The 25,865-nt window shown below is 33.6% G+C and overlaps 2 pseudogenes across 1 annotated transcript in view; one reads left to right on the top strand and one right to left on the bottom strand.

Annotated features, from left to right (window-relative positions):
- Nucleotides 1–5,022: 5,022 nt before the first annotated feature.
- GUSBP16 (GUSB pseudogene 16) overlaps nucleotides 5,023–25,865 on the bottom strand; it is a 153,001-nt pseudogene continuing 132,158 nt past the window's right edge. Inside the window, exons 10-11 of the transcript NR_146391.1 lie at nucleotides 23,683–24,276; nucleotides 5,023–5,584 (exon numbers count right to left, since the gene is read on the bottom strand). The product of NR_146391.1 is annotated as a GUSB pseudogene 16 (transcript). The remainder of the gene's footprint in view (nucleotides 5,585–23,682; nucleotides 24,277–25,865) is intronic.
- On the top strand, nucleotides 17,229–17,530 carry CDH12P1 (cadherin 12 pseudogene 1; annotated as a pseudogene).

The raw sequence follows: 25,865 nt of genomic DNA, 5'->3' as shown, positions 1-25,865 counted from the left end.
CTTCTGCCAAGGTTGTAAGTTTTCTGAGGCCTCCCCAGCTGTGCAGAATTGTGAATCAATTAAACTTCTTTTCTTTATAAATTACCCAGTCTCAGGTAATTCTTTACAGCAGAGTGAAAATGGACTAATACATCAAGTTTTATGATGTAAAATAATACACTGAAGTATGTTTGGACCCTGGTTAGTCTTGGAAATTCCATCTATAAGTTCTGTCTGTAACTTACCTTAATAAGAAACCAACGATAAATGGAGAAGGAAAAATTGTAAAAACCAGTGGATGATCAGTAAGAAAACTAATTTTTTTTTTTTAATCTCGGAAATAATGCACCTCTATGGTCAATAACATTCATGTGTCAGTTTTAAGAAAATGTTCTACGAACATGTATGCACACACATAATTCCATGGACTCCAAGAATCATTAGGAGAACCTTAATAATAATAATAATAAATTAGTAGCTTCTGAAAAGCAACCAAACTTTAAAAGAAATATTCAACATTTAAGGCTTCAATCAATCTCTACTTAAGCACCTGCTTTCATAATCCTGAAACTCATTTAAAAAAAAAAAAAAAAAAAACTTTCTGACCTTTAAAAATGCAACAGCCTGAAATCAATTTATTTCAGTCAGGCATTCAATAGTATATACTTGCTAAAACAGTCAAAGTTCAAGTTATAGCATCTGTGACATCTATTTTTTTCGTTTTTGCATTTTTGCCTTCTTATTTTATTTTTTTCTTTTAAGTTAAAGTCAAAATGGAACTATTATCTCTTTGGCAGTTTCTTGGGAATCCTATTAACCTATTGGGAAATAAGTAAACTCTGAGAATGATTCCTTTCTTAATATGTTTATAATGAGAGCTTTAAAAAAATGATCTCTCACTAACCTGTATTTAGAAACAAGATGTAACTTACTGCATTTCTTACACAGGATAGTTAATATTTATCTTTGGGATTAAGATTACTCATTTTCACACTATGGGGCAGAAAATAAATATTATGTATAAATTATTATGCAAGTAAGATAATATTTATGATACTATTACAAGATATAAGACCATGAAATATTAATTCTTAGCAGTAAATTTGACAAAAAAACTTGACTCATAATGCAAAGAAAACAAGCTAAGTTCTTGTATTTATTTTTTCTGCATTTGTGATATTACACATTCAAATCCATTTGAAGTAGTTACTATAGAATGAGGAAAGGAAATAGAAGACTTCGGTAAGGCGGCTTCATGCTTTAACACACTAAGCAATCCCCACAGTGATGGATGCTACAAAAAATAGGTCACCTTCAAACCACCCTTGAAAATAAGCAGACACTGTAATTTCAGATTGTGTTCTTATGAGCATTGTTAAGAGCATTGAGATATATATACATATATATAAATGTTATATATTTAACAAATTATATATATATTTGTTATATATATAACAAATATATATATAACCTATATATACATATATAACAAGTATATATATATATAAATAAATATATATATTTGGCCTTGTATTTATTTTGCAAAAATTGTGCTTGTCTGAGCACAAGAAAATACCATTTTTTCATTTTTTTCTCTCACATAAAACACATATAAACGTCTTCATACACATGCACAAATCTGTGTAGTTATTAGTTCATTGTGAGAAAGAATGTAGATATTTTAATGACATTTCTGTTATTAAATGGAGTTACTCTATTACCTTTTTAATATGATGGATTTTATGTCTTTCAAAGCAAATTATGGCACAATGTGCACAACCATAGAAAAATATTTTATTCAAAAAACTGACTCCCTGGGAGCGATTACTAAATTGTGTTTTCTAGTACCTAGTACAATTACTAATGGGCAGTCGAAAGTATTTTTCAATGATACTATTGTTATTAATGCATTCAGGGTAATACAAATCTGGCTTTGCTCAAATTGATGTCACAAAACGAAAACTTGGGTAGTTTATATCTATTGCTAATTCAATTCTCTGAACATAGATTCAGCTTTTTTGGTTTTTTTCTCTCAAGATATTTCAAAAGTTTTTTTTCCTGTTAATGGCATTGTATTATCAAATTAAAAGTGAGATGATTCAGTTTAAATGCTAGTCCCAAAGACACGTGGGGTTAGACAACCTGGTTTAATCTCTGCTCTGAATATTTTTACTTGTGTGTCTTGAGCCAAGTTAGCCTGCCTGTCCCTCAATTTCTGTATCTACAACATGAGAATGCTAATAGAAGGATTGTAATCATAGTGTTTTTCTGAGTATTAAAGTGGGTTTAGACACATAAAGCCATTAGAAAGTTGCCTGGCAAAATATAGAAGCTTGATAGCTTTTTCTACCATCTTATTGAATCCAATCAGTTTTCTCATGCACATTTATATAAGTTAATATAAATAGAAAGGAATATTGCTATACTGGGCTTATTTGGATATGAAGGGAGAGAAATGAAGGAAAACAAACTGTGAAGCCAAATTCTCTACAGTATTCTCCAAATTTATGATATAAATATTATAGTCTACATTTTACATATGAAGACTCTGAGGTATGAAGAAATTCAGTAATTTACACAATAACACAAATGTAATAAGTGATCAGTTTCGGATTCTAACCCACAAATATCTGATGTTCAGGATCATGGATTTTAACTCTTTTTATGTTGTATACACCCTATATGCCAAACAAAAATTCAAACGACAACAACAACAAAATTTAAAGATGGGCTTGCTATATGTGCATGCATTCGTTCCTTTATAAATTCATTAGTTCATTAAACCATTGCTGAGCATGGACCATGTGATCTGTGTTTGATCTGGTGAAAACACAGAAATCACTAAATATGGTATGATTGTGTCTAATTTCATATCCCTGTGAAAAGAAAACTTCGACCTCTAAAGTTAGACCAACTCTGATAAAAATCCACAGCAAATGACAGAAAGAAGGATACAAATTAAATATGAGGTGGTGGAAAAGTGTACAACAGCCAGAGAAAGAATAAGATTACACAAAGGGATTTGATATAAGTGTATCATATTGCTCCATTCTCAAATATTGTGAATTGAACACATCTCTCAACTAATTTAACATCCATTTAAGGGTAAAAGAAAGCCACTGATAGAATTAGTATTATCTAAAACAAATTTCAGTGGAAAAAAAGGATTTTATATTATCTCCACTTTGTAGGGTCATTTCATTCTGGTGCAGGTTTTGCAAAAACAAACCATTGATTTGGAAATCATAAATATATTCTAAATTTTAATATAGTTACTTATGTTAAACATAATGTGTTAAAGTTTTAGCATATTCTTTTTGACTAATCATTAGTTACTTATGTTAAACATAATATGTTACATTTTTGACATATTCTTTTGACTAATTAATCATTTCCTTTTTAAACTCGGAGAGGCAATGGGGGGTACAGAGTGAGACAGGAAGGCAGCCTCTGTAACAACCTGAGGACTCATGGTTGGGGAAAGATGTCATCTACTTTTAGTCAAGAGATAAATGTTTTACCTGCTAATAGGGAAACCCACCCAAAAGCACAGAGAAAAGTCTGGTCAAAACATTGCATTGCATCTAATAAAAACTAATTAACTGGTTTAAAAGCAAAAGATCCCTTGGTACTGCAAAACTCAATCGCTTTCACAATAAATAGATAAACTGCTTTGTGGGAAGAATTTACTAATACATGGAAGAACTTCCATTAGAAACTACATGTTTATTTGATTTCTTAAAACGTATTTAGGCATAATGTGTGTTCTAATTATTTTCATTTCTTGAAGAATATGTATTCTTATACAATTCTTATTGTTGACAACTTTGTGGCTACACTTTTGTCTTTTCTTCTTTCCTTCCTTTCTCTCTATTATGCCTTCTTTTTCCCCTTTTTTCTTCGTCAAAATTCTTAAGCCTTCTAAAGTCAATCCTGTCACAATGAAAATACATTAAAATGGCTATAACGTCCGATCCATGAACTTCAGTGAACTCTAAAGACTCCTCAAATATACGCAGATGTATAGGATTCTTACGTTTCTCCTAATTTCTACTAGAGAACCTGTCTCTTATCTCTTCTTCCCCAGCTGTTCCTTCTATTCACCCCATATTAACCCAAGCATGAAGCACAGCCCTAATATTTGTTAAAAAATCCAAAAGCTTGTGAAGTTTTAATGAAACCCTAGAACTTGGAAAGTATTATATCAAACTACAGAAAGTTGAAAATTTAATGTTTGTCTCCCTCTTCTTAAGGGTCCTCTACTCAACCTTTAGACTGACAAACTCCTCACGGCTTGCCTCAATGTCTTAAATGCTTTTCCCACCGCTTTTTTTGTTCTACTTCCGATTTTCTGTTTTTAGCAAACCTTGATGTTTCTGGGAATGCCCATGGATAGCCTAGATTTCTTCTTATACCCTGAAAATTAGGAAATCAAGCAACTTTTCCTTATTTCTAATCTACTGTAGGCATTTTTTTTTTTTTTTTTTTTTTTGAGATGGAGTCTCGCTCTGTCGCCCAGGCTGGAGTACAGTGCAGTGATCTCGGCTCAATGCAAGCTCCACCTCCCAGGTTCACGCCATTCTCCTGCCTCAGCCTCCCAAGTAGCTGGGACTACAGGCGTCCGCCACCACACCTAATTTTTGTATTTTTAGTAGAGACGGGTTTTCACTATGTTGGCCGGGTTGGTCTCCAACTCCTGACCTCCAGTGATCCGCCCACCTCAGCCTCCCAAAGTGCTCAGATTACAGACATAAGCCGCAGCGCCAGGCAGGCATTTTTCTGATATTGCAGAGCTATTGTCATATCCTGTAACCAAAGTAACCTGTTGTAGTGTTATATGGGGGGAGGAGGGGAGTAGTTTTCACTACTACGTTTGGAAACCTTCTAGTCTCTGTTATTTATTTACCTTTCCAGTTACTAATACAATAGGTGATACAGGTGAGGCAGATATCAATTTTGGATCTATTCCCCTGTATGGTGTATTTTTTTTCTAGCTGTCCTTAGATTATTATTTACATAAGTTTGTCGCAAAGGGCTTTGTGAAGGAGATTTTTTTTCCCTTTCTGATGATTACAAGATCAACTGGGAGAAAAGATGGTAAATAAAACCAATGCACTGAATATTGATCTCTGAAGTAACATGAAAAAGTGATACTGATTCACAAAGAGTTCAGAAACTGCAGATGCTTTTCCCTAGTATGTGTAAACATTTGAGATAAAGTGGCGCTCATCAATATACTTAGATGGCAAAAATGTTTGACTTATTAAAAGAGTCCCATTAAGAACAATCAAGGAGTTTAATCATAGCAACCAAATTTGCACTTCCCTCAGTATCAGTCAGAAATAAATACAGGAAATTTAAGACTCAACTTTTCTGTTCTGATCAAGAGATCCTATTTATGAAGGGAAGATTATGAAAAGTCTCAGTGATGGACAGAAAGCCAAATAGTTGCGATTGTTGATATCTTTGTCTTCTTCAGATGATGCCTTTAGATCCAGCATTATCCCTCTTGTTCTCTCTTGAGAAAGAAGCTGTTTCTGAGACATACAGCTAACAGTAGAGACCGTGGAACAAAATGCTTGATTCGTAGGTCATTTTGTCTATACTGCAATTAAGAAATGTGAATATATCAAATATTTTTTAAAGTTTTACTCCCAATGTATTACATTTTACTAATAAATCATGTATACTTCGCATGTGTTAAAAATGTAGAATTTTTAGCTAGATTTAGCTTTTTTTGAAATCGTACTTATATTTATCTTATCGTAATTGATTTGATTTTATGTAGCCAGACATTTTATACCATTAAATAAAAGGGTATTTAAAATAAAAAAAATTAAAAAATAAAGGAGAAAATAAAACATAAATAGAAGTGACTATGATAATAAAGACTAACAGAAAGAAATTAGGTTAGATGGAGTTTTACATTCGAGTTCAGATTTGGGTTAAGCTGCTTTATTGGGATTATTAAGTGCATATGCAAATAAATTAGTGTAGGACATATAGTTTTTAAAATTTTATTTTGCACTTGGGACTATTTGAATTCAGTTAAAAAGATTTTATTACTAGATTTTTCATGATAGCATATCAGTGGTTAGTCAAAATTAAATAAAACCTATAAGGCATTTAACATAGTATATAATATTCGATAAGAGCTAATAATGGAAATAATGAAGAAATGCTAACAATAAATTAAGAAATGATATCTAACTATAGTAATGTATTGTTATTAATAACTGATTATTATTGGCATTTATTTTTAAATCTAGACTAAATCACATACATTTATGTAGTATTCTGAAAAATAACTACATTGTTTGAAATGATACATCAAATTTACTGTTATTCAAAATAGAGATTCCATTACTGAAAATTTGATATGAATGGTTTATTGTCTGGAAATTTTTTCCCTAAAACCGAGCTTGTGAAATATGTTTTACAATGTTGGAAAAGTAAGAAAGAAGTTATTTTAACCTTCTCTCATATTTTTCTTCCCAAATCCTGGGTCCAAGCCAGTGACCTCTCCAACTTTTATAGAAGTTCTTATTCACATATTGTGACACTTTGAAATGAGAGATTATAATTGGAGTGAGCTAAAGTTGTAAAATATGACAATCTGAGAAAATAGGATGGCTTTTATATGTAGCCATGAAGGCAATATTCGAGCAAAGTAAGAAAGATAAAAGACAGCATTGGGGGAATAGCATATTTTTTTTTCTATAACAGGATGTATAATATATCCTAGCACATAAGCTTTTTTGCTCTTGAGCATTGCAAATATTCTTTTTTCTTCTGTGAGCTTCTTTGGCATACACTGGGGATGCTTGGGGGCCTTTTTGAGATGGATTTCTGCTCTCTTCAATATAAGGTGAAATATTTCCAGATGATAAATAGCTCTGGGTCTGTTACTCAGGCAGGGGAGTTCTCAAAGCACATTGGGCTGTTAGAGGGAATTCCTAACCTTGTAAAGTGGTATCCCTCTTGCTCATATAGCAACAATTAAACTAGGGAGAACAAATGAGTCACCTCAGGAGAGTAGACTAGCATAGAATGTTAAATATTCTTGGGCATTCGGTGACTTTGAAAAGAGAACAATTTGCATAACATTACTCAGGCAGAGTTATAGATCATCTTTGGGTCTGATCTTCTTTCATCTATAAATACCTTAAGTATAATCTAATGGCTTTGTAGTTAATATAATGGCCACTATGATGTTCTTGAGCTCAGAATAAGTATTAGCATGAAACTAGGCAACTTCAAAAAAGGAAACACTAAGTGTTTTATAAGTTTACCAGGAAGAATCTAGCAAAAGTAGTTTGTGTTGTACATAATAAAATTATTTCAGACAAAGAAACTCACGCAAAATTTTCTTATACTCATATTGGCTGGTTTAAGTGAGTAAATCCTGTGTGTAAGTAAACAAATCAGTGACAATATTACTTTAAATCTCAATCACTAACTACTAAACCATTCTACATCACTTATAATCATAGATTTCAAGAATGGTAATGGGTCTTACCACTTATACGTGATTATTATAACAAAATGTACTGAGAGTATCCTGTACAAGAAACATATCCCTTACATCTGAATGTGTGTATAGATCTATCAGAAGATTCTGTAACTGCTTTTATAAAGATGTCCGTATTAAGTAGGACAGACCTTTATGTGATTGCTTTTGTCCATATATGTTTTGAGACTGAAGAAGAGCGATAGTAAAACAGATAGAGCAATAAAGATTTAGACCACATGTCTGGAAGTTTCTCATTCCAGCAGAAAAATTCAAAATGGGGACCTAGTTCCATGACAAAAGATAATGACAAATAAATTGTTAATATTTAAATATGTGATCCGTCTATATTAAGGAAAGTAAAGACACTAATCCAAATGCAATGCTTGAAACTTATGGGGCTTCGTGTTCAGAAAACAAAGAAAGAAAATGCTACAAAGATATTTGGAGAGAGAAGTGGGGGTATTGAATATGACCCATTATTAAGTGATAACAGGCATTTTAATTAATTTTCTTAACTGAAACTGTGACAATGTGGTTATGCAGGAAAAGGTCTTATTTTCAGAAAACTGGTGCTGAAATATTGTGTAGTGAGTTGGTATGATGTTTGTAAATTATTTTCAAATCATCCATATATGAAAGTAAAGCAAATACAACAAAATGTTGAGAATGGTTTAATCTAGATTGTGAGAATATAGATTTTCATCATATAATTACTTCTATTTTTTCTGTTGATTTCAAGTTTTACTTAATATGATTTTGGTACAGGGAAATGGTGTACCTCCCAAACACCTTTAACTCCTCTTCAGAGAGCATCAGTAATTTATAGCAGAGGAACAAAAATAACAACCCGTAATTCTGATGGGAGGGAGTGGCGTAGAGGTCATCAGAGAAGATGGCCAATTTCTGTAACATTGCACATAGGTGAAGGATTGGTGACTGTTTAAACAAGCCCAAAGGAGCTATATGCGAGTGTTTACACTGAGAGGGCTCCAGCAATGAAGGCACAGCTCTGAAAGAGACCCAGATTTGGCAGTGATTCCAAAGAAAAGGCATAAAATTTGCCAGGAAAAACACAGAGATGAACTAATATTCTATATACAGAATTTCTCCTATATGCTTGAGAATGCATAAAATATAGGCATTAATGACCAGAATGTAAACAATAAAGAAATAATTTTTAAAAGACGTTATTCTGTAGGTAACCTGTAAAGAATTAGGACAGTGTTGGGACACCATTGTGCTTAGAACACCCCCAACCGAATATCTGAAAGTAGAAGAAATGATTGATTCTTTTATTCATTCTAGGCCAAAACTCTGATCAATAAATACAACTCAAAAACTCAAAACTTCAAATTAGGTTATTTATTCTTAAATATGAACAGGAAACTCAGAGTTATCTGGTATTCAAGGAAAGCCCGCCTTATGAATGGCAAAGACTCAAATTCAAAACACAAAAGTAATTCTGAAGGAAGAGATAATTTAAAGAAACCACACAAACACAGACTAATGAGAGTTTTCAAAAAGTTTCAAGAAATCCCACAGTTCACAAAATAAGAATATGATTATTTTTAAAATAACACTTAAAGAAATCCTGAAAATGAATATATCTGTGGTATATGTGTGTGGGTATGCACAATTTGTGTGTATTAAATTTGAAAATGAAGAGCATTACCAATAAATAAAGTAATATACATTTATTGCTTTCACACAATAGTCCAAAAGATATGACAATAAATAATATGAGTGAAATATATATGATACATTGAAGATGTGTAAGGTCTAACATTAAACAATTGAATTCTAGGTTAAGAACACGAAAAACCAAGGACAGGAAATAATCGTGGAAATAATCATTGATAAAAATTTCTGAGTGCTGAAGGAAAATAGTTTTCGAATTGAGAAAATTTTCTAAGTGTCCAACCTCAAATAGGAAACATAAACACACATAAACTCGCACCTGGAGGCAATGTTCAAAACACAAACCCAAATAAACACATACTCGGAGACAGTGTTCTAAATAATTAGACTACATTCATAAAAATAAGATTATAAACACTAGAGAAAGAGAAGATGAAAATAAAAAGGGAAAAAAGAGGCTCTTTACCAACAAAGAAAATATAATCAGACGGATACCAAGTCCACTCTTGGTTTCTAGAAGATAATGAATACAATTTCAGATGCAAATGTATAAATTCCTTAAAATGTATGAAAAGAAATGATTTCTAATCTGGAAATATATGCCCAGATGAAAATTAATTATATATGAGGGTAAAATAAAGGCATACTGTGATATGAAAAGACTCAAGTAAAATGTCTAACATACACTCATTATTAAGAAATCATATAAAATTAGTGCAAGCCAACAAAATAGTAAACCAAAGTAAATATAACATCCAAGAAAAAGTGTTTCCAAACCAGGAGATTAATAAAGTAAATTCCAGGTTGACAATTGTGCAGATGTTCTTGTTTGGATTAGCAAGAAAGAAACCTCCCAAAGAGAGGCATGTAGTGAAAAGATGTGATGTCTGACCTCAGAAGTGGGATGAATCTAAGGATATTAAAAAAATACATAAATAAAACCACTAACAGACAAAGATGTTACGGAAAAAAAATCTATATGCAAAATAAAACTGCAGCAATTACATAGGAAATACAAATTATTTGGTAATAAAACAAAAAGGCTTACATTGTTCTAATTAGTGTAAAAAGAGTATTAGTTGTTCTCTTTTTTTAATGTTTTAGCATCAACTGATAGACAAAACTTAGAAACTTATTTATCAGTAGGTGTTCTCAGAGAAAAAGAACAAATTGGATGTTGATATAGCTATAGATGTAGATGTAGATATAGTTATAGATATAGAGATATTTAGAGAGATCTCTCTATATATAGATGTATCCATATATAGAGGATATATATGGATCTCTATATATCTATATATGGATATAGACATATCTCTCTATATAGGTATAGATATCTATATAGATATATAGATATATCTCTCTATATAGGTATATATATATATATATCAATATATATCTCTATATATCGATATATAAAGATTTGTTATAAGGAATTGGCTCACACAATTATAAAGGCTGACTAGTCCAAAGGTATGCAGTTGGCAAACTGTAGACCCAGGATAGCTTCTAGTTCTAGTCTAAAGACGGGCAGGCTCAAGACCCAGGAAAAGCCAATGTTTTAATTGAAGTCAAAAGGCAGAAAAAAAATTCCAGTGTCTCAGCTTGAAGGCAGTCAGGCAGGAAGAGATCTCTGTCACTCACGGAGGGGTTTGCCCTTTTGATCTATTCATTCCCACAGCTATTGAATGAGGCCCATCCACATTAGGGAAGGCAATCTATTTTATTCAGTCTACTGATTTAAATACTAATCTCATTCAGAAACACCCACAGAGGCACACCCAGGATAATGCTTGACAAAATCTCTGGGCAACTTATGGCTCAGTCAAATTGACATATAAAATTAACTATCAGGCTTATTTTTAAAAAGAGGCCTGGCCACACAGGGTGTCTCACACCTGTAATCCCAGCACATTCAGAGGCATAGGCAGGTAGATTGCTTGAGCCCAGAAGTTTGAGACCAGCCTGGGTAATATGATGAAACCCCATCTCTACAAATAAAAAAATAGAAAAATTAGCTAAGCATGGTAGTCTGTGCCTGTAATCCCTGCTATTCAGGAGGATTACTTGAGCCCAGGAGGCAGAGGCTGCAGTGAGCTGAGATTGTGCCACTGCACTGTAGCTTGGGCCACAGAACAAGACCCTTTAAAAAACAAAAAAAACCTAAGGCCTACTTCAGAATTTTTTAGGACAGATTCTGTATAATACAGATGATGGAAGCTGGTGGCGGACGGGGAGAAGAAATGGAAGGAGATGTAAGGGGAAGTGTAAAGGTGTTAATGCTATGATCCTATGAAATAGAGAAACCACAGATACATTCCAATGTCAAAAAAACAACTGTAAACATTGTATTGAAGGGTGTTAGGGTGATGGTTATTTGTATCTACAACCTACTTTTAAATGCATCAAAAATTAAGCTGGGTTAACAGATAGACAAATGGGTAGAAAATAATAAAACAATTATAAACAGTATGTAAAAAATATATAGACTAGGAGGTAAGTATACAGATGAATACTATATACTTTTATCATGAATTTGAAAATTTCATAATAAAATGTTGGAGGCAAGAAGAAAAAAAAGGATACATTCTATGAGTGAACTGAAATTTAGAAACTCAGATATCACTTAGTGTTTTATTGACAACACAGAGAATAAACGATGGTACAGTTTTACTTGGACAAGGCAAGGGGTATGCAGTTTGGAAGTCAACAAATATTATTCAAATTTATAATTAAAGAACTACTATAACATTTAATCATTTAGCCAATTTTATATATGTATTTTTATAAGAACTGAAACAGAAAGAATGAAAATAGAAACAATTAAAAATGTCCCCAGCTGGCTAGGAAAAGAAAGAGTATGGTTTGGGATTATAAACTCTTCGATTCCCTATGATATTTAGCAATTTAATTGTATTACTTTGATTAAAATGTTTTTGATCAGTTTAAACTGATGTAATGAATTCATATTTATTGATACAGAAAAATATGATATAATCCATCTAAAAAGCAAGTTACAAAACAGTGTACAGTGTACCATAGTACCTATGAACACAATTAGTGAAGTAATTTGCAGAGCTATAATACCAAATCAGAAATTATTTTGGTAATGAATTTATGATTTTCCTCGTTTTCTGATTTTTTCCATGATCTCATATACTTTATTCTCAGAAAACAAAAGACAAAACCCCACACATACACAAAAATAAACGAGTAACTTCTTTACAACCCCAGAGGCTAAGTCAGTGGGAAAAGAGGGAAATGAATGGTTATGAGCATAAACACAGGGACAAATAAAAGAAGTTTGGAGCACAGAGAACAATTCACAAATCAGAAGTCATTTTAAAGGACACAGAAATCATGGTTTTAAATATCATTCCATAAGCAAAGAGAATATTAAAATCATTTTTTGGAAAATTCCTTGAAAAATGTTTTGTAATAACTTTTTTATTTTTTACCCTTCTCATCACAACCATCCTCATTACCTCATAAGAGCCATATGTGGTAACTGTCCAGGGTTGTTCATCTCTGCCTCTCGCCAGGAAATACACTGAATTGCAAGAATTAGGTACTACAAAAAGATGCATATTTTATATTAAGCAGTTACATTTAGAAGTAAACTGGTAACTTGATGGCATTTCTATAGCATATATATATATATATATATATATATATATGCCATACATATATGTATGTTTTTTTTTTTTTTTTTACTCATGTATAAAACACATATATCCACATATGGGTTAGTAGTAGTATTTGTTGAACACAATTTTTGGTTTTCACACAAATGCACCTTTTCAAAAATCAATTGTTCCTTCTCCCAACATACCCCAGGCTGGCAAATGACAAATGAAAATAAAATCCCTGCTGGAAATAGTGGTATAAAAAGCATTTTCCATTTTATGTGCACTTTTCAACCCAGAGAAAATAAGAAATTTGTTTTATTTTTGTGCAGTAGTTTCTAAAATATAATCGGAGAGATGCTAGTAAACATTTAACTTTAGATTAGCTTTCTCAAAACTTTTAAGCGCTGGAATGAAAGATTTGCTTACATTCTGAAGCTGGTGCAGGGTATCTTTTTTAAGCCTTCTTTGGCATCTCATTTTCACGCACCATCTGAGATGACTTGGAAAACACCAGAAAATAACAACACTACTTCCACAAAACAACTGCCTGGACAGTGCCTATTTCTACAGCCATCATTTATAGAACTCTTTTTCTGGGGAGAAGTTTTATTTTAAGTGTCAATACTAAAAGATGGTATATTTGGAGTTGGCTGCTTCAATCAGTAAATGTAGTCAGCACCGACTCAGAAACAGCTTATTTTTAATAATTGGAAGAAGAAATATTTCTAGCTGTTAGTTTTAAATGGCTACAAAGGAAAGAAATTATTTTTTTGGAATTATTAGCTTGCCGTATGTGTAGATTAAAAAGGCTGTGTAAAAATGGCATCTTGTGATTTTTTTTTACAGTGAACATGACCCAAAACTATGGAAAAGACTATGAGTTCTTTTTATCTTTAGCCCTCCTTCCTTCTTTGTGCAAATGAGACTAAGAACTTCCTTCACATTGTAAGCAAAGCCTGAATCCCATTGCTGACGTATTTGAGAAAGCAGTTTCATCGATAGAGATCAATTTCTGGAATCACTAAAAATTCAACATTTTCTAAGATTCATAAAAATTATTATAGCTTTAGTCTTGACAGTTGCCTTTTTATTTTAAGGAAATTAACCCCAGAAAACACATAAACACGTGCATATACATACATACACACACGCACATTCACCACACAGTTTATGAAGGAATACAGAGTGCCCACTGGATCATTCAACTTCACTGAATGAATATGCAGAAATTTTAAAAAAGTAATTTTGAAAAATTTCAAATGATACTGAAAAATTTGGTATTTTGTTTTAAAAATCTTGACTCATTTATTTATAAAGTGTGTATATAGATAGATACAAGCAGAGAAATATATATCAATATAAATGTGCAGTAAATATGTATTTATATATATTTACCCTTTCAGTTATATATTTACATAACCGAAACATATAAAATTAACAAAGAAGGCAGGGCGCAGTGGCTCATGCCGATAATCCCAGCCCTTTGGGAGGCTGAGGCGGGCGGATTATTTGAGGTAAGGGGTTTGAGACCAGCCTGACCAACATGGTGAAACTCTGTCTCTATCAAAACTACAAAAATTAGCCTGGCATGGTGGCATGCGCCTTGTAGTTCCAGCTGCTCTGGAGGCTGAGGCAGGAGAATTGCTTGAACCCGAGAGGTGGAGGTTGCAGTGAGCCGAGATCACGCCACTGCACTCCAGCCTAGGCAACGAGAGCGATACTCCGACTCAAAAAAAGAGAAGTTATCTCTAGGTAAGATCATGATGGAAATTTTCATCTTACTTTATACCTTTCACTGTTGAAATTATTTTACAGTTGAAGTAAAGGAAATTTTACAATATCCAACAAGAGCCGATGTCATTTATTTAATATCAAAATTAATATTGGAAAAATGTCTATACTTTAGGCTACCACCCATCTGCCTGAATTAATCAGCATTAATACTTAATTTTAAATATTACCTGTCAACGCAGGTCACTGAATGTGATCTCCTTTAAGGTATTATCATGTAATAAACTGCTACAAAAAGTCTAATTCTCTCAAGAGTTTTATAGTCATCCACTTCATTTTCAGGTCAACATTTTAACATATTTTCCCATATTTTTTTCTGAAGCTTTAATCTCTGCAAAGCCCATCTTTAAATTTGAAGGAAAAGGTAGAAGAGTGAGGAGCAGCAGTAATTAACTTGAATTTGGAACTTGGATATAACTAAAGACACATTTTGCTTCTTCATTTTTATGTCAGTTTGCAAAGGAAACAGTTATGATTTTAGCTAAATACAGAAATTTTTTTCTTTTTTCTTTTTAAAATTCTACTTGTATCACATTTCAAAACCTACTCTGAATTTTCACTCAGTTCCCACAATATTACCATAATTCTTTGAGCTATTGGCAAAATGGATCCATTTTATAAAGTCATGCCTTTTGCATTGAGCTTTTGCCTGTCTCATATATTTAGATAAATTTGAAAGCAAAAGGAATATCCACTGTGTTGAATATCTTTAATAGCATGGTTGAAATTTATAATTTGAAATTCATAAGTTCAAAGAACATTTATCTACTGCTTGATTTTATGCTTGAAACTTCCTATGCTTCACAGCAGTTTTTTTTTAATAGGTGGACAAAAATCCTTCCTCCTATCATTCATAACAATTTTCTTTATACTTAAGTAAAATATACAGAAACTTTTAAAGGAACGTCAAAATCTTGTTCCCTCTTATTGTTGCCACATTATTTTTATTATATTACCCAACCAGGTTTTTATGGTTATGCTTATACTCTCATACAAAACAGTTTTAGAACAAATATTGAAGGAAATGCAGGGTCACAAAATGAATAAGTTTACCTTAATAACATTAATATGAACAATGATATTATTTTATTGAACTTAAAGCACGCTCTTGAGCTTAAGAGCAAAGATGTAGCCACAGTTGAACTTGTATTTATTTGGGCTATAATTACTCATACTAATACACAGGAAGCTTATTTGCAACAGGATATTTATATAATTTAAAATATTTTCAGAGTTTTTGTGTGTGTTGAAATGTTAGGAAAACAGAACTCATTCTTAAGCAATGATTTGCAAAGAGCAGTGCTCATATGCAGATTTTTAAGGCGTAGCCCAAATGGTTAGAAATGCTGCAAAAGTTTAATTTTCTTTTGGGTGATCTGTTGTCTGGAAAAAGCTGTTACATGTAAAAATTTGGATGCTGAAATCAAATGGCTATACCCAAATGAGCAAGAATAGTTTAAAACATTTAAATCAGCATCTGCATAAAAATTAATATAAATATTATTTATGACTGTTATGTATATATAATTATATTATGCATAAGAATATATTTATACAAATATATACTACTAGAAAATTGTATATGATGTACTATTTTATTTTATGTAATATTTTATGTATATATTTATTTACACATAATTTATATACTTTTAAGACTGTGTCCATTTTTCATTTATTCTTGGTCTCCGGTTTGAACAACGCTGCTTTATGGCATTACACTGATAATTCTCTCTACTCTTTAGTTCTCTTCCTTATCGCTTATTCATGTGTATCTTATTCCATGCTATAATGTAATGTACCATACATGTGTTTAATTTAAAAAAAAAATTAGCAGAATTTCAATGCTTTCCTATATTACTCAACATAAATATTCTCTATATAGAATGAATTGGAACAAGCTATTTGTGAATCTGAAAGGATAATCAGTGATTCTACCAATCATAGTGGTAAACTCATTCAAACTCAGCCTGTTAAAATGAGACGCTCTGCCCTATATCACTGAAAACCTCTTGATTTGCCAGATTTTTCCCTTCTTTACAAATGAAAATGCTTAGTGTTTTCTGAGTTCCTTTGCACTATCTCCCACTGGATTCAGGTCATTGATTTCATCTTCAGAACACTTGGAAAGTTTATTTTGTGGTGTTTATGAGCTAATTTATTTTTATTGCAATGTTTATTTAAAATGAAACAATAAGTACACTGAAGTTTTGTGCATTTCATTTTATGAAAATGTTATCCCAAAGGGATACAGAAGAACTAAATACAAATTTTCAAAATTTATTGTTTTTTTTTTTTGCCTGCTGCTATATCTGAGGTTGTACTTTTGTTCTGATCTTTGTAACACCTCAAAAAAAAAAATGGGTTAAGAGAAGGATGAACAGAAGAATGGATATGAGACCTATCTGATAAGGCAAGCAGATTAATAGACGAATGGAGGAATGTTTGGATGTATATGTATATGTGTTCATTGCAGTTTTCAACTTTTTGTGTTGAAATTTTTATAAAAAGAAGTTGGAGAAATAAAAAACAAGAAAACAGAACCATAAGATTTTTATTTAACATTTTTGATTAAAGGAATTGTATTGCAAATTATGACTTTTTAATTTGGCAACATCCTTTTAATGGTGTTCTTTCTTTGTCCTTCTCTTTCTCTTCCTCTCTCTCTCCCTCTCTTCCCTAAAGCTCCATTCCGACTTAGACAAGGGAGAGGGCACTGCGAAATACACCCTCTCAGGAGATGGCGCTGGCACCGTTTTTACCATTGATGAAACCACAGGGGACATTCATGCAATAAGGAGCCTAGATAGAGAAGAAAAACCTTTCTACACTCTTCGTGCTCAGGCTGTGGACATAGAAACCAGAAAGCCCCTGGAGCCTGAATCAGAATTCATCATCAAAGTGCAGGATATTAATGATAATGAGCCAAAGTTTTGGGATGGACCTTATGTTGCTACTGTCCCAGAAATGTCTCCTGTGGGTGAGTAGGCAAATCAAAATTCTGTGAGATACAATGAGACCTCTTCAACATTGACTTTTTGCAGGTTGATGTAAACATCTTATCTATCATCTAAAAGAATTATTTTTCAATTCTAGAAAATACAGTTCTTTTCATTTATTTTTGTAACTTTTTTGTTTTTCTTTCTGCTTCATTATGAAGATAACTACAGGAATATATAACATTAGTTCCTGTTTTCCACCCTGTGAATTTACCTGAATTCATAGAATCCTTGCGTGCTTTAAGCAAAAAATGTATTTTGTATTGAAATTGATTCTTATCTCAATTCCAGACACCTATACAGTGCTGGAGACACCTACCCTACACCACGAAATGCCAGACAGTAATTCCTAGATCAAAGTAAATGATCTAAAGCATGCATCACATCTGATCTGGAAGTGGTCCAGAAACAGGTGTGTTGCATCTTCTGTAGCTGTAAATAGAGATTCTGGAAGGGTGATACTGTTTCCTTTTCAGGGTAAATAACCCATACTTGTTATGCCATCAAGCCAAGCAGCAAATGAATAATGTCATGAAAATATTATTAGAACAAATTAACAAATTACAATTACAATTATCAAATTAACAATTAGAATATAGTAGCACCATCATTCTAAAAATTTAAATTTGATATAAATATACATTTCCATATCAGCCTAAATTTACAAAGTCCTATAATATGTAGGATATAAGGTCAATAAGTTAAGAATTCCAGCCTTAAGGACAATTTTAAATTATAATTTTTATTCCTCAGTCACCACTGCTAATCCTTCAATTTATTTCAAAGTAACTTCTGGTTTTTATTACATTTGGAAGATAAAGCAACTTATCACATGTAGGTTACAACTTAAAATTCGTGTATGAGCCATTGCTTATATTTTCTAAATCTGACATGACCCAGGGGGTTTCTACTGCTCCTACCACCACCCAGGACATGCGATGAAGATTGTGCACGCTACCGTGAGGGCAGAAGCAGGTTAGTAGCTGTAGGAGCTGTCACATGGATTTACTATAATGCACTTGAAATTGTGTATGTGACCTTATCAGGCATTTAAGGACCATAATCTCTCCTTGACCTAAGAAATCAGCTTGAAGTAATTCACTTAGATTTCAAATTTTAATGTGGATACCCAAGGCTGCAAATCTGTTATTCAGTACCTGCTACACTTTTGGGGTTGCCTCTTTTATGCACTGTTAGAATTGCTAGAAATTTAGAAGTCCAATTGGAAAGAAGCATATCTTGTTAGAAAGTATTCCCAGAAAATGAGGAAGGCTACATTTTAACTGTGTCTTGATTTTACAGGGAGAAAAATAAAGTTAATATTTTGAGGAAAAAATAAGGCTTTTAAGATGACATGCTATATAGTAGACAAATAGTTTAACTCGGTGCCTACTTCATGTACACTGGATGTGTTAACATGAATTTATGACCCTCAGTGACTTTTTATTACCAAAACAGCTTCCTTAAAGCAAACACACACACATGCCTCTACAGTATTGGAAAATTCCGTCTCCTTAGATAAAACAATTAGGATTTTTCTTGGGCCAACTAGAATAATTAGGGCTGCAGAGTTGGAGCCTTTATATAAGGAGTTTGCAGCTCATATCCGAAGAGAGAAATGTATTTCGAAAGTCAAAAGTGTAGTTAAGTGAGAAAGCAGAGTAGTTTCAGCTTTTGCATTTGGAGTGGGTATAATTTACTGTGTTGTCATAAGATACTGGAAAGATCTTTGGAAGAATAGGTTCTTAAAGTGTTTTCTCATGTGCCCTTACTGACATTTCCCATTGGGCCTTCAAGACAACTCCAGTAAATACTTAAATTGATTTTCAGTGCACTGCTTTCTTTCATTTTTATTTATTTATTTTGAGACTGGGTCTTGGTCTGTTGCCCTGGCTGGAGTGCAATGGCCCAATCTTAGCTCACTGAAGCCTTAAATTCCTGGGCTGAAGAGATCCCTCCACCTGAGCCTCCTTAATAGCCAGTCATGTGCCACCCTGCCTAGCTATTTTTTTTTTTTTTTTTTTTTTTTTTACTTTTTGTAGAGAAGGGATCTAGCTATGTTGCCCAGGCTGTTCTCAAGTAGTCCTGGCCTCAAATGATCCCTCCACCTTGGCTTCCCAGAGCACTGGGATTACAGTCATGAGCCACCCTCCTGGCTCCTTTTTTTTTTTATTTTTAATAACAGAAGGGTATTTCTTTTGAATGTGAAATTTTACCACATGGTATGAATTAGTCCAAGTGTTTTTATACTAAATTTACATAATATACACTTTTCAAGTAAGTACAAAGAGGTATAAACACTGCTTATGAATTGAATGTTAAAAAATAAATCTCTATGCATTACTTTTGTCTTTCCCCATAATCTCACGTATACACATAAAACAAAAAACAAGGAGACCCAGTTATAGTTGTGGTATCTGCTGTTTCTGCCTTGAAATTTCCAGCTTACAGCTAAGCAACAACTACTGTGCATCCAGAACTTACATCTATGTTCCTAGAGTACTTGAACCCCATTCTCAAGTGCACCCTTCTTACCAGGTGGAAATAGTTCACTGCTGTAATAATCTAAGAAAACATTATGTTTCTCTCTACTTTTTTTTCTCTCATATAATCTAGGCAATTCTCCCTCTGTATCATTTTCCTGAGAAAACTAAAATAATTTTTAATCAAGACCAGATGGAACTTTGTATGGTATATTGACAGTATACCAATTGTTGTGACGAATCTTACTGCCTGTTGTAGATATCAGTGTTTGAAGTATTCCCTATGAAATAACTTTTCTGTCCCAATAATTGAGAGTGCTGTTTCATTTCCAAAAAAAGGGAAGAATTAATCAATTAAACATACATATAGTGAAATAACCTGTTTTGTAACATAAAACATAAGATGAAGAAATATCGGAACATTGATATGAAGTTTAACAGTAATGGATTATATATCCAGAAATATGAACAAATAAACCTGCAATGAAAATTTACTAATGTTACTAATTTTCACTTGTGTAACATGAACATTACAAAGAACATAGTGTACAAAGGGAGAATGTTGGTGGGTAGGATGAGTCAAGATTTCAGAGGAAAATCAATATTTAAGACTTACAGCACTGTGGAATATATTTAATTTTCCTAAAGTTGAAGAAAATTTCAGTGAATCTATGAATTGTTTAAGAGAAAGGTCACTCCGTTACTGACTTCTGCTACATCTAATATTCCAGGGAAGTAATATTTAGAGATAAAAAGCTTTTACTCTGACCTCCGGAAATTACTTAATGATCCAGATACTCCCAAAGTCAAAGCAAATCCTTGGAGACAAGTTTGGACTTTATGAATGTGGACTTAATTCTTTAAGATCACTAGAGCAACAATAAATTACAGGAATGTACCCTCTTTATATCTGATGATTATGCATAAGTGGGGTGTGCAGTTTTAAGTTACTTTTCCTACAGTGCTGACAGGTTTAGAGTGTTAAATCCATACTCAACTTGTATTATCTTCCTCTGCTTGAGCTATGCCACCTTGAGTCAGCTGATTTGACTATTTATAATTAGATACCTAACCTATGATATGATATAGTAGATGTCAATAGTGACTCATGATTTATGTAGTAAGTCTTACCATTTTCTAAGCAGTAGTCAGGTGCCATGTGATCTAACTAAAGATTTGTATTTCTTATTTTACTTAACAATTACAGTAACCCCAATGCAGTATTATTCACTGTTGGATTTTTTTTAATGTGAAAACTTAATAACCGCTGTGGATAAGAAAGTAAGAATGATTCTTAGGTGCTTTAGGACCAAATTAATCAGAATTTAATATACCACTTTGTCTAGGTGTCATGGCGGCTAAAATATCTTTGAGAAAGTTAAACTTAGCTTTCAATCTCAGATGATCTACTTAAGAATTTGGAAAGTTTATATTATATTATTTGAGAATGGGGATTCTTGCTTAAACGAAACCTGAAGGACGGGCATCTTTCATTCAATATCTTAAAAAGAAAGTTTAGCTGACATTTAAATAAGAAAAGATACACCTAAAATAAAGTAGAACACTGGTTTAATAAAAATAGTGAACAGGTACTCCCTTGCCTTTCTATTTTTCTCTCAACTCTATTTTATTTTACCTGAAGTTTGGGGAGAAATGCTAAGATGAAATTTTTGGTGGAGTCTTTCAGAGGTTATTTAACCAGAGACTATTTTCTTTTTTCTTTTTCTTTTTTTTTTTTTTGAGATGGAGTCTTGCTCTATTGCCCAGGCTGGAGTGTAGTGGTGCGGTCTTGGCTCACTGCAACCTCTGCCTTCCAGGTTCAAGTGATTCTCCTGCCTCAGCTTCTCGAGTAACTGGGATTACCGGTGTGCACCACCGCACTCAACTAATTTTTGTATTTTTAGAAGAGATGGGGTTTTGCCACATTGGCCAGGCTGGTCTCGAACTCCTGATCTCAAGTGATTTGCCTGCCTCGGCCTCCCAAAGTGTTGGTGTTAAGGACATGAGCCACAGTGCCCAGCCAACCAGAGACTACTTGTTTCGTGGCCATATTTAAACGGTCTAAGAAGGAAAAGTGAAGACTGTGTCTGTACTTTACATTAATGAACTATTATAATTTAGAAACATATATAAGTCTCCACACTTCCTTATTTTCACAAAAATGCCATAGAGAGACAAATTGAAACATAAAAAACTAGATATATTCTCTCATCCCATGAGCCAGCCATGGAAACAGAGAGCAGCTCAATTAGTAGCAGAGGAACAGGTGAATTATCATCCACTTCTATCTATGCCCTAAAAGCAGAGTTTTTTCAGAAGCTTGAAGACAGAATGTTGACTATTTATTTTCCACACATAAAGACATTCTCCTTGTGCAATCAAACTACAATGTTTAAAATCAGGAAATTTGCATTAATGTATTATTATAATCTAATCCTTCAGCCCTATTCAAGCATTAGCACTTGTCTCAATAGTGTCTTATATAACAAAAAGTTCAAGTTCAAAATCAAACATTGTATTAAAATGTTAGGTCTGTTTAGTTTCCTTTAATCTGAAACAGGTTCATATTTTTTCTTGGTTTCCGTGACTTTAATATTTTTGAAGATTTCTGCCTAGTTATTTTTTAGAATGGCTCTCCCATCTTGAGTATGTGTGATGTTTCCTCATGTATGAATGAAGCATATACATCTTTGTCAGAAATATCCCAGAAGCAATTCTGTACTCTCCTCATTATGTTCTATTGGGTGGGCCATGGTTTTTGATTTGTCTCATTACTGATGATGGTTACTTTTATTATTTGATAAAGGTTGTATATAACTTATCTATTATGGCATAATACATTAGCTAAAACCTTAGCGGTGTAAAACAGCAGATACTTACGTTTCTCATAGGAATGGCTCTATTGAGTACCTCTGTCTCAAGGCTTCTCAAGAGTTTGTAGCTACCTTGTTGGCTGGGGTTGCAGTCTGATCTAAAGGCTTAGTTAGGGGGTGGTAGAAATCTTCCATATGTTCTTTGCTACGTGGACCTCACAGGCCTACATCATAACGTGGCAGCTGGCTTTCCTCAGAATGAACTACCCAAAAGAGAGCTAGACAGAGAGAAAACCCTCTGATTGAAGCCATAGTCTATTTATAACCTAATCTTGAAAGTGACATCACATCCCATCTGCCATATTATACAAGTAAGTGCAACGCGAATACAAGAAAGCCGGGATCATTGAGGGCTCTCCTACAGTCTACCTACCACTCTCTATACTCTGGCTCTCAATGATTCATGTTGCTCTCTCATGCAATATATCCTCATCCCCTTCTGAGGACCCCAAAATTTTCAACCCACTATAGCATCAGCTCAAAGTCCAGAAGCTTTTCATCTAAATCAAGTCCAGATGGGGTAGTGATTTTGGGTTTAATTCTTTTTTTTTTTCTTTTAGATTTTTTTACTTTTAGTTTTGGAGTACCTGTGCAGGATGTGCAGGTTTGTTACATTGATAAACATGTGCCAGGGTGGTTTGCTGCACCTATCAACCCATCACATAGGTATTAAGCCCAGCATGCATTAGTTATTTTTTCTAATGCTCCCCATCCCTCCCCTCCACCCCCCATCAAGCCCCAGTGTGTATTGTTCTCCACCCTGTGTCCATGTGTTCTTACCGTTCAGCTCCCACTTCTAAGAGACAACATGTGGTGTTTGGTTTTCTGTTCCTGCGTTACTTTGCTAAGGATAATGGCTTCCAGCTTCATCCATGTCCCTGCAGAGGACATGATCTCATTTCCTTTTTGTGGCGGCATAGTATTTCATGGTGTATATGTACCACATTTTCTTCATCCAGCTTTGTGATACTAAAGAGGCCAGTTACTTACTACACATTCACCAAAAATACAGTGGCAAAACAGGAATAATGTCTCTAGACATTCCTGTTGAAAAAAATGGGAAAATGCACAGACTAAAAGAATGATTGGTCCACCACATTTTAAAATCCCAGTGGTAAATGTTGCAAGTCATTTGATTATATTCAACGCCTGTGAATAATTATTCATGCCTCTCATCTCTGACCTCTAGGCTCTTCGTTCTGCCTTTTGAGTTATTCTTTTTTTTTTTTCCATGAAATACAGCTGGTACTTGCAATAGTACTTGGGTGTTGAACTTGTTAAGAGTGCATATCCTTTTTTTCAGATCCATCTATCATTTCCTAGTTGTATGTGGTTGTGTGGGTTATTTCTCCTCTTTTACATTGATTTTCTCACCTGCAAGTGAATAATAGTAACACTTTATGAGCAGGGTTATTGCAAGTAGCAAGGAGAAAATATATATTTACCATTTGCCACAATCCCTGGGGAAGTGCAGTCAATACATTGGAAAGGGTCCTCATAAGAGTTTGATGATCATTCTCAGAAAGCTAGCCAGAGAAAGTCTAAATGGTAAAGGTTCCAGCTCATTATCTTCTTCCCTTTTCTCAAGTTTTCTCTCCATCTGACATGTGAGCTCAGTATTTACCATTGCCCTTTCTACAAATTTAACCAAGTTTATTTAAAAACATAATGACCTTCTATCCCAATTTACATTTTCTTTGGTGTAGAGGACGCCTTTACCTTGATGTGTGGAGACAAGCCGTTGATTTGTAAGAAACACCAATTATCAGCTTCCACTTGTGCTTCACAATCTGCTGAGTCGCTTTAACACTTTTGATGAAATTGAGCAAGGCCTTGTGATCTCTCCTGTGCCAGCCGTGAAGTGTCCACTGCACGCAGCTTGGCGGAACTATTTTCAGGGCCATAGGATGTTATGGCTGTGTGGGCAGGGAGCATTTTATTCGTCTGTTTGATTCCTATGTTTTTATTAGTGGTGCAATTGCAAAGGTAATGCTATTGACACTTTTTGTGTAGCCTTGAGAGAAGAGTATGAATTGTTTTAGTAGCAGCACAGCGTGTCCCTAAATATAAATCATGCTGTACTGATAGTTACTTTAGCAGCCACTGATCAGCAATAAATGTTAAAAATTAACAAGAAGTTTCTTTTTTTTCGAAACCACCAAATGACTCTAAGCATTAAATATATTTTAGCCGGAGTTGCTTCTCGGCCACAGAGTGGTTCACAACATTAAACATATTTTCAAAGTATTACTCCTTCCCCAGCCTCCAAGTGGTTGTAAACATTAAATATGTCTTATAAAAACTGCTTTGCCAGCTACTGGCAAGACAGCTATGAACATCATTTTTCTTTAAAGTTGCCTTCCAGCTGCGGGACTATTTTTCCTTATTTGCTCTATTCTATTTATATTTTGTACACAAAAGCAGGCAAGAGGCTACATTGGCCCAATTGTCTCTGGCTTTATGATAAGTGATCGTGGGAGAGCAGTTGCACCTCCGTAAAACCCTGCTGGCCACAGGAGCTTGCTGAAGTTCAATCACTGATACTGAATATTTCATATAGATGTCAGCTGTGTCTTCCAAAATAATTTTTGTTTTTCATTGTGCAATGTGTTGAGGCATAAAGATGGGCATGCATTAACATCAGCATTAAGAAAAATAACTTGAAGCAACCAGACACTGATGAATTATACCCACTGATTCAGGTGAAAATATTCCGTGAAGAGAACAGACTCAAATGGCAGGACTAGTATGTTAATGAGGTCTTTAACCCAAACATGATGAAAGACTTGGAGCCTCTGTCTGGAAATCATCCAGTGTGACAACTGCATGTGATTCAAAAAGAGTGAAGAGTATGCTATTACATAAAGGTCTATCCAGGACTTAGAGCAGGAAATCTTTTCATTTTAACCAAATTCACAGTGAAAATAACGTGTGTCCCCTGAGTGAATTGAAAAATAAATTAG

This window comes from Homo sapiens, chromosome 5 (assembly GCF_000001405.40).
Source record: "Homo sapiens chromosome 5, GRCh38.p14 Primary Assembly".
NCBI lineage: Eukaryota > Metazoa > Chordata > Mammalia > Primates > Hominidae > Homo > Homo sapiens.
Note: the sequence above shows the minus strand (reverse complement) of the source record. Positions and strands in the feature narration are given on the sequence as shown.